This window comes from Homo sapiens, chromosome 4, assembly GCF_000001405.40.
Source record: "Homo sapiens chromosome 4, GRCh38.p14 Primary Assembly".
NCBI classification, from domain to species: Eukaryota; Metazoa; Chordata; class Mammalia; order Primates; family Hominidae; genus Homo; species Homo sapiens.
In genome coordinates this window covers 159,378,762-159,388,822 of record NC_000004.12, presented here as the reverse complement: position 1 = coordinate 159,388,822, position 10,061 = coordinate 159,378,762, and the positions used below count along the sequence as shown (strand labels likewise).

At 39.0% G+C, this 10,061-nt stretch overlaps 2 annotated features.

The window, feature by feature from the left end:
- Positions 4,573 to 5,146: an enhancer, noted in NCBI's record as "OCT4-NANOG hESC enhancer chr4:160304829-160305402 (GRCh37/hg19 assembly coordinates)". NCBI's record gives its function as "activates a minimal SCP1, AML or CMV promoter by ChIP-STARR-seq in primed H9 embryonic stem cells {active_cell/tissue: H9 hESC(primed)}" and the evidence as "EXISTENCE:reporter gene assay evidence [ECO:0000049][PMID:30033119]".
- Positions 5,147 to 5,721: an enhancer, noted in NCBI's record as "OCT4-NANOG-H3K27ac hESC enhancer chr4:160304254-160304828 (GRCh37/hg19 assembly coordinates)". NCBI's record gives its function as "activates a minimal SCP1, AML or CMV promoter by ChIP-STARR-seq in naive and primed H9 embryonic stem cells {active_cell/tissue: H9 hESC(naive and primed)}" and the evidence as "EXISTENCE:reporter gene assay evidence [ECO:0000049][PMID:30033119]".

Genomic DNA, 10,061 nt, shown 5'->3' with positions numbered 1-10,061 from the left:
AGAGACGGGGTTTCGCCATGTTGGCCAGGCTGGTCTCAAATTGCTGACCTCAGGTGATTCACCAGTCTTGAACCTCCCAAAGGGCTGGGATTACAGGTATGAGCCACTGCACCTGGCCAGGATTTAGCGTTCTTAATTTCAATGGAAAAATTATGAGAAATGGTTAATGTAGGAGTCTTCCATAGGTGCCAGCTCTATTGCTAGTTAAGGATGGGTAGGTCAGTCCACACTTTTAAGTCACAATTTGCTCATCCAAGGTTTGATCCAGCTCTGAAAGCATATGTGTCTCCTGCTCTTTGTCAAGGTGAGGAATTTCCCATTTCTATTTTTCTGAGAATTGTGTGTTGTTTTTTTTTTAAATCATGAATTGAATTTTGTCAAATGTCTTTTCTGCATTACTTGATATGAGCACGTAGTTTTCCTATGAGCATGGTAGATTGAGTCTTACTTTATGGCCAAAGCTATGGTTTATCATGGTATATGTTCCATGCATGCATGAAAAGAATGCTTATTCTGTTGTTGGGTAGACTGTTCTATAAATGTTGATTACATCTTGTTGGTTGAGGATATCACATTCTTTTATATCCTTGCTGATTTTTAGCCTAATTTTTCTATCAGCTGTTAAACAGGGGTATTGAAATCTCCAACTATAATTGTGGATTTGTCTATTTTTCCTTTCAGTTCCCTCAGTTTTCATTTCATGTATTTTGAAAGTCTGTTGTGTGGTGGATACCCATACAGGATTCCTGTATCTTCTTGGTGCATTGACCCCTTTTATCATTATATGATATTCCTCTCTTTATCTGGTAATAGTCTTTGCTCTGAATACTACTTTATCTGGTATTAATATAGCTACTTCTGCTTTCTTTCTAGTAAGGTTTGCATGATATACCTTGTTTCATCCTTTTTCTTTCAATATGCCTATGTTGTTATATTTGAAGTAAGTTTCTTGTAGACACCATATAGGTGGGTCAGGTCTTTTAATCCACTCAAATTGTCTTTCTTTTTTTTTTTTTTTTTTTAAGATGGAGTCTTACTCTGTCGCCCAGGCTGGAGTGCAGTGGCGCAATCTCAACTCACTGCAACCTCCACCTCCAGAGTTCAAGGGATTCTCCTGCCTCAGCCTCCAAAGTAGCTGGGATTACAGGTGTGGGCCACCACATCTGGCTAATTTTTGTATTTTTAAGCAGAGATGGGGTTTCATCATGTTGGCCAGGCTGGTCTTGAACTCCTGACCTCAGGCAATCTGCCCACCTCAGCCTCCCAAAGTGCTGGGATTACAGGCATGAGCCACCATGCCCAGCCTTCAAACTGTCTTCTAATTGTTGTATTTAGGTTATTTACATTTAGTGTAATTATTGATATGTTAGGACTTAAGTCTGCTATTTGTTTTCTGTTTGTTCTCTCTGATTTTCATTTGTTTTCTTTTTATCTGCCTTCTTATAGGTTGATTAAATATAATTTAGTATTCTATTTTATCTATAGTGTTTTTGAGTTTATCCTTTTGTATAGTTTTTTATTGATTGCTAAATATTTATTACATAGACACTATGTCACATTTTACCAGTTTGAGTGAAGTATAGAAATCTTATCTTTCTTATATCCCTTTATCCGTCCTCATTTATGATATAATTAGCTTAAGTATTTTTTCTACATATGTTAAGAACCATATCAGACAGTGTCATAGTTTTTGCTTCAACTGCCAAACTAATTTAGGAAACTCAAGAGAAGGAAAATGTTTTGTATTTATCCATATATTTAGTCTTTCCATGATTATTTTTTCCTTTATGATGTTGCAAAATTCCTTCTAATTATCTTTTCTGTCCTGGGAACAGTTTCTAGTTATTCTTTTAGAATAAGTTTACTGGTGAGAAATCTTTTTAGTTTCACTTTATCTGATATTGCCTTCATTTCCCCTTCATTCTTAAATGATATTTAGCTGGATATAGAATTTTGTGTTGACACTTCATTTCTTTCAGCACTTCCACATATAGTGTCACTTCCTCTGGCCTCCATAGTTTCTCCTTATAAATCTGTTGTCATTCAAATTGTTTTTCCAGTATAACTAACGTATCTTTTTTGTCTCAGTGCTTTCAAGGTTTTTCTCTTTGTCTTTTAGTTTTCAAAAGTTTCATAAGTTTGACTGGGATGTGTCTTAATGTAAATTTATTTGGATTTATCTTGTTTGTGGTTTGCTCAGTATCTTCAATCTGTAGGTCTGGGTAGTTTTCAGCCATTATTTCTTCAATATTTTTTGAGCTCCATCCTCTTACTCTTCTCCTTTTAGAACTCTGATACCAAGAATGTTAAATCTTTATAGTCCCATAATTCCCTGAGGTTTGTTCTTTTTTTTTGTTTGTTTGTTTTTCAATCTTTTTCTCTCTGTTCTTCAGATTGGGTAATTTCTATTGTCCTATCTTCAAGTTCATTATTTCTTTCCTCTGTCCCCTCTATACTGTTTTGAGTCCATTCACTGAATTTTAGCTATTATATTTTTCAGTTCTAAACTTTTCATTTATCTTTTTGTATATCTTTTATTTCTTTGCTGATATAATACTGTCTATTTTTTATTTGTTTCAAGCATGTTTATAATGCTTACTGAAACATATGATGATTTCCTTGAGACCTTTATCAGATAATTCTAACATTGCTGTCGTTTCAGTGTTAGGATCTATTTATTATCTTTTTTTCATTCAGTTTGAGGTCTTCTTTATTCTTGGTATGAGTGATTTTTCTATTAAAACCTAGATATTTGTGTATTATATTGAGGTTTGGGATCTTATTTAAATTTCTTGCAAAGGAAAATGGGAGTGGGGAGTGAGCTGCCTGATTACTGCCAGATGAGGTCAAGTTTCAGGTTCCCACCTGGCTCCCACTGAGACCTGAGGGGAGGGGCTACTCATGACTGTTAGGTGAGAGTGGAAGTCCTGCTTCGCATTCAGCCTCTACTCCTGGCTGGGAGGGGTAGAAGAACCTTATTACTGCTCCCCTCTTGGCCTGACATTATGTTGGAGAAGTGGCTTAGGTGAAAGCTTTGTCTCCAGTAGGTCTCCTTTGAGGCCACCCTAGAAGGAAGGGGCAAAGGCATCTCATTACCACTGGATAGGTGTGGAAATCCATGTGGTATCCACTGACACTGCATGAGAGGGATGAAAGTTCCATCTCCCTACTCAGTTTTCTCTGACACTTGTCCAGTGAGAGAGTGGGAGGTGGAGGCTGGTGCTACTGCCATTACATCCTGGGGACAGTGCAAGTCTGCTTCCTCTTGAGCTTTCACTGGGAGTGGGGCTAACATTTTTTCTGTGGTGTTTGGCTGGAGTGGAGCAGTTATTGTCCAATCTTTGTCTCATATATGTATTTTTATGTGTGTGTGTGTGTGTGTGTGTGTGTGTGTGTGTGTGTACATATATTTTTTTTAAATAGAGATGGTGTCTTGCTATGTTGCCCAGCAGGCTGGTCTTGAACTCCTGAGCTCGAGCTATCCACCCACCTTGGCCTCCCAAAGTTCTGGGATTACAAGCGTGAGCCACTGCGCCCAGCCTGTCTAATCATTATCTGTCTCATTAGCTACCCATCTCTTGTTCTTTCAGCTGGAGAGGGCAGGCTTTTGGTAATTTTTGTTTTGTTTTGTTTTGTTTGGCGTGCATTCATTGGTATTTCGGGGTTACGAGTTTCTTTATCTATGAGTCTGGGATATGTGAGTTAAAAAGAAAACCCAGGGAACACACTGCCTCTGGTCCTGTGGTCTCCAGCCAGTCAGCCTTCTCCACCTTTCAGAGTCATCATATGCTTGTTTAATATGTAAAGTCTAGGGTTTGTAGTTGTACTTTGTGAAAGCAATAGGGAATAGTACATTCATTCAATGGATAAGGCATTGGCCTCCTTAAGGGTTGGGCTTTGGGAATAGTATATTCATTCTATCTTCCAGAAGTGGATTTTTTTTTTTTAAAGAAACTGCAGTAAGCTATTATACACACAAGAGGTCTCTTCTGACATACACTTTTGTTTTTTACTCAAGAAAGGCTAATTTTTAGCATTCTCAAACATAATTCTGAAGGATTAATTTGTCATTTTATTTTAAATTCTTAAATATCCAAATTTTCTTCCTTCTCATCTTGAAAAAAATCAGCTTTATCTCATCATTTTCTCAGGTTTATGTTATTCAATAGGGGAGACTATGAGCCTGACAAAACTGTGACATCATTATTATGTATCCACATTAATCAGTGTATTTTTGACACACTGCATTCATTAAAGTCTTTGAAGGAAACATATCACTGCCTTCAAAGATATTACATTCTAAAAATACAAAGTAAAATGTAAAGTAAGATTTCAGAATTTCGAAATTAGGCCGTTTTAGTTAGGAAGAATAAGTTCTAGTGATCTATTGCATATCAAAGTGGCTACAGTTAACAATAATGTATTGTATATTTTAAAATTGCCAAAAGAGTAGTTTATAAATGTTTGCCCTGCAGAGAAATGATAAGCTTGTGAGGTGATGAATATGTTAATTAGCCTGGTCTGCTCATTCCACAATGCACACATACATTAAGACATCATTGTACCACATAAATATTATGCAATTATTATTGTCAATTTAAAATTAATAATTAAAAATTAAAAAAAAATTGAAATTGGTTTATTCACATATCTTTCACACACAAAGAAGCATTCATTGAAAACCTACATTGTTCCCACATCATGAAGATAAATGCAATTTACAATAAACAATCTTTCCCATTTTAATCAATATTTGTAGCTGGAGTGAGACAAGAGATGTTCTAATTCTTGAATCTCTAAACTTGTGTTTATCAAATGTAAACACAAAAGTGAGTTAAATATTGCAACAGGAAATTGGGGCTATCCTAGTTGATTGTCAGCTCCTACTGAGCAGGCAGTGTTGCCTGCTCATAACCCCTCACCCTCATTCCTTCATCTCCTCTCAGGATAGAATGATCAATCTTTTCAAGTGTCACCACAGAAATTTAAATTGGAACGCTTAGTGCCTTTGGAAATGTAGATTACCATTCCAGTTCAAGTGTAGGTGAAGGTCATAAGCTGCTTCTCTAACTCCACTCTCTATAAGCCTTTGGCCATCTAATAATTTAAAACCAATTTCTTTCCATTCAGATGGAGAGGCATTCCCACGACCTCTAACCAGCAAGCAGGATTTTACTACTAAATCACTTCTGCATTTAAAAATAAAAAATTACCATAACAAAACATGGATGCCATTTCAAGCCAAGCGTTGCTAAATTTTGACCTGGGTGCATTTGGGAGTGAAGACAGTAAGGAAAAAAAAAAAAAAAACTTTCTTCCAACAGAAATCATTTTAGTTGCTTATTATGCAGATTTAGTGGTCACGAGAGCTTAAAAAAAAGGAAAAAGGATCAACAATCTGCATAATGGAAGCTATACCCTGCTGTGAACTCTGAAAGGGATATATGTAACAAGGGCAAACTTGCTTGCTACGCACTCAGGGGCATGTTCCTATAGACTAAAATAGGAATGATGCCTGCTGGGGTTTTCCAGGGCCTTCTAATTCTGCCATTTACTAACTGCTGCCTCTACTCAGTTTACTTATCCATAGAAACAATACCCGCCTTACATGATTCAGGAAGGCTTTTGAGGAATGAATGAGCTAGATGTGAGCAGGACATTGAAAGTCCAAGATAATATTTAAGTCTCCTTTTACTTCATGTGCCATGTTTTTTTCAAAGCCAGAAGAGACGTGTAACTGAGGCTTGATGTAAGTCACAGTTTACTGGCAGGATGTCGGGGGAGGTTTTGGAGAAAAACAGAACAACATATAGGAAAGCAGAGTAGACTCAAATAGCAGAGCAGGAAGGAAGCACAAGCGGTGTTTGTATAGACAGAGTAAGAGGAGAGATTGAAAATAAACAGGATCTTGATCATGAGCAGCCGCCTTTATTTGTAAGAAAATTTCCTTTATCCTTAAGCGATAGGAGCCTACTAAGTGCTTCTAGAGAGTTAAATGAATAGATTAACATTAAAGAAAGTTCTTAAGTGGTTTCTGGAGGATCAACTGAAGGCAGGTGATCTAGAGGTCAAGAGATAAATCAGAAGCCAGAGCGTAGAAAAGAAATGATGAAATCCTAAACTAAGGCAGAGCCAGTCGTAATAGAGATCTGGAAGATGTTGAATGGAGATAAATTTGGTTTTTTGGTTTTTTGGTTTTTTGTGTTTTTTTTGTTTTTTTTGAGACGTAGTCTGGCTCTGTCGTCCAGGCTGGAATGCAGTGGCGCAATCTCGGCTCACTGCAAGCTCCGCCTCCTGGGTTCACGCCATTCTCCTGCCTCAGCCTCTGAGTAGCTGGGACTACCGGCGTCCGCCACCACGCCCGGCTAATTTTTTGTATTTTTAGTAGAGATGGGGTTTCACCGTGTTAGCCAGGATGGTCTCGATTTCCTGACCTCGTGATCCGCCCACCTCGGCCTCCCAAAGTGCTGGTATTACAGATGTGAGCCACCGCGCCCGGCTGAGGACTTTGAATTAATGGTGGTTGTGCTGGGGAAAGAGAAACGGTGAATTAAGATAACTTTCAGATCTTATGATGTTGAGAATTGGATAGAAGTTTGGTGCTTTGTTTTGTTTTTGTTTTAATATTGTCTTTTCATAAATCTCTAAGAACATATCTAATTTTTATTTCAGTGGTCCATTCATAGATACAATTTTCCTAAGATGTGTGAAGCCAACGCACGACTGTGTACTTGTCATTTGTGTGAAGTTGTGAACCATCACAGCCTGATGTTTTATATATATGTCTATACAGTTGACCCTTGAACAACATGAGTTTAAAGTATGCTAGTCCACTTATACCTGGATTTTCTTCTGCTTCTGCCACCCTCAAGATAGCAAGACCAACCTGCCTCATCCTCCTCCTCCTCAGCCTTCTCAACATGAGGATGATAAGGATGAAGGCCTTTTTGAGAGGCCACTTCCACTTAATGAATAATAAATATATTTTTTCTTTCTATTATTTTCTTTTTAAAATTTTATTTATTATGTATGTATGTATTTATTTATTTTTTGAGACAGGGTCTCACTCTGTTCACTGGGTTGGAGTGCAGGGATGCAATCATAGCTCACTGCAGCCTCAAACTCCTGGGCTCAGGCAGTCCTCCCACCTCAGCCTCCTGAATAGCTAGGAAGACTATAGGCATATGCTATTGCACCTGGATAATTTTTAAATTTTTTGTATAGACAGTGACATGGTTTTGTTGTGTACCCACTCAAATCTTATCTTGAATTGTAGTTCCCATAATCCCCGCATGCCGTGGGAGGGACCTAGTGAGAGGTAATTAAATCATGGGGGTGGTTACCCCCATGCTTTTGTTCCCGTGATAGTGGTAAGTTCTAATGAGATGTGATGGTTTAATAAGGGGCTTCCCCCTTTGCTTGGCACTCAATCTTTTCCCTGCCACCCTGTGAAGAATTACCTTCTGCCATGATTGTAAGTTTCCTGAGGTCTCCCCAGCCATGCAGAAATGTGAGTCAATTAAACCTCTTTCCTTTATAAATTACCCAGTCTTGGGCAGTTCTCTATAGGAGTGTGAGAATGGACTAATACAGATGGAGCATCACTATATTGACCAGCCTGGTCTCAAATTCCTGGTCTCAAGTGATCCTCCTTCCTCAGCCTCCGAAAGCATTGGGATTATAGGCATGAGCTACCAGACTCGGCCATACGTTTCTTTCTTGCTTGCTTGCTTGCTTATTTTCATTTCTTTACTTCTTTCTTTCTTTTTTCTTTAATAGAGATGAGGTTTTGCCATGTTGCCCAGGCTGGTCTTGAACTCCTGGGTTCAAACAATCTGCCCAACTCAGCCTCCCAAAGTGCTAAGATTACAGGTATAAGCCATTGCGCACAGTCAGCCATACTTTTCTTAATAACATTTTCTTTTCTCTAGTTTACTTTATTGTAAGAATACAGTAAACTAGACATACTATATACATATAGCATACAACGTGTGTTTATTGATTTGTATAAGTTTTGGGGAACTCAAAAATTATAGATTTTTGACTCTGTGATGGGTTGGTGCCCCTAACTCCCGCATTGTTCAAGGGTCATCTGTATGTGTGTGCATTTGGCATTCGAAAATAATTTAAAAGTAGAAGCATTTTATGCTGGCATGACATGATGTCTTGAATTTTCTTCAAAATAATCCAGTGGGTTGCAAGACAGAAACATACATAGTGCCAAAATGAAGTAAGAGTAGTCATATGTGAATCGTTGTTGAAAATGGGTGCATGGGGTGACAGCAATATACTGTCATCTCTACCTTTATCTAGGTTTTGAAATTTACATAGTAAAAATGTTTTAAAAACGAATAGAAGGGCAAATTAAATAGGTGCACAAGTTTCTAAAAACCATTTCCAAGGAAATTCTGTTCAAAAGAAAAAGTAACAGAATACCATTCTGGGAATGAGGTGGCAGTGGCAGTGTAGTTTTTTACCTTCTGAATGCCCCTGTAAAAAAAAACATCAGAGCAACGAGGAGAGCAAAACCAAAGACAGAGAACTCCTAAATTACTATCGGTTATTCACTGGAAAGCATGGTAGAGTATTCTGAGAATAACTGCAGAAACTTGAAGAGTGTTGTGCAGGTTATATTGTCCAGATAACTGCACTGGGGTTGCTGGAAGATCTAAGGATGCCGGATCTGCCTGGTGCCTATGAATTCTTGAAAGTAACAAACCAAACTGACTTTCCATGACAAAGCCCTACATTGAGGAGCAAATGTTGAGAATAGATTCCCAGTTGACTAGGGCAGGGACAATAGAGTCCAGATAAAATTAGAGATGAACAGAGAATGAAAACCTCAGGCAGTTCACTGCCATGTTTTCAGTCTCTTTGTGAAAACAACAAAAGGAAGAGTTCTACAGTCATGAGGTTAGAAATGTTATTCTGGCTTCTTCATCCGTCTTAAATATGCAAAAATAGTCATTTGAATTAAAAATGAGCCACAGAAAAGGACTGTATCAAATCTCAAACAAAGTATTATTAGAAAAAGAGAAATAGGGCCGGGTGCGGTGGCTCACGCCTGTAATCCCAGCACTTTGGGAGGCCGAGGAGGGTGAATCACAAGGTAAGGAGATTGAGACCATCCTGGCTAGCACAGTGAAACCCCGTCTCTACTAAAAATACAAAAAATTAGCCAGGTGTGGTGGTGGGTGCCTGTAGTCCCAGCTACTCGGGAGGCTGAGGCAGGAGAATGGCATGAACTCGGGAGGCAGAGCTTGCAGTGAGCCCAGATCATGCCACTGCACTCCAGCCTGGGCAACAGAATGAGACTCCGTCTCCCAAAAACAAACGAACAAAAAACAGAAAAAGAGAAATAGGAGGAAATTAAATCCTTATGTGTCCGGAATTGGTGGGTTCTTGGTCTCACTGACTTCAAGAATGAAGCTGCGGACCCTCACGATGAGTGTGACAGTCCTTAACGGTGGCATGTCATGAGTTCGTTCATTCTGATGTTCAGACTTGTTCAGAGTTTCTTTCTTCTGGTGGGTTTATGGTCTTACTGGCTTCAGGAGTGAAGCTGCACACCTTCGCGGTTAGTGTTACAGCTCTTGAGGCGGTACGTCTGGAGTTGTTCATTCCTCCCAGTGGGTTTGTGGTCTCACTGGCCTCAGGAGTGAAGCTGCAGATCTTCACAGTGAGTGTTACAGCTCATAAAAGCAGTGCGGACCCAAAGAGTGAGCAGCAGTAAGATTTATTGCAAAGAGCAAAAGAACAAACCTTCCACACTGTGGAAGCAGGCCCAAGCAGGTTGCCACTGCTGGTTCAGGCAGCCTGCCTTTATTCCCTTATCTGGCCCCACCCATATCCTGCTGATTGGTCCATTTTACAGAGAGCCAATTGGCCCATTTTACAGAGAGCTGATTGGTCCGTTTTGACAGGGTGCTGATTGGTGTGTTTACACTCTGAGCTAGACGCAGAGTGCTGATTGGTGCATTTACAATCGTTTAGTTAGACACAAAAGTTCTCCAAGTCCCCACTAGATTAGCTAGACACAGAGCACTGATTGGTGTGTTTAC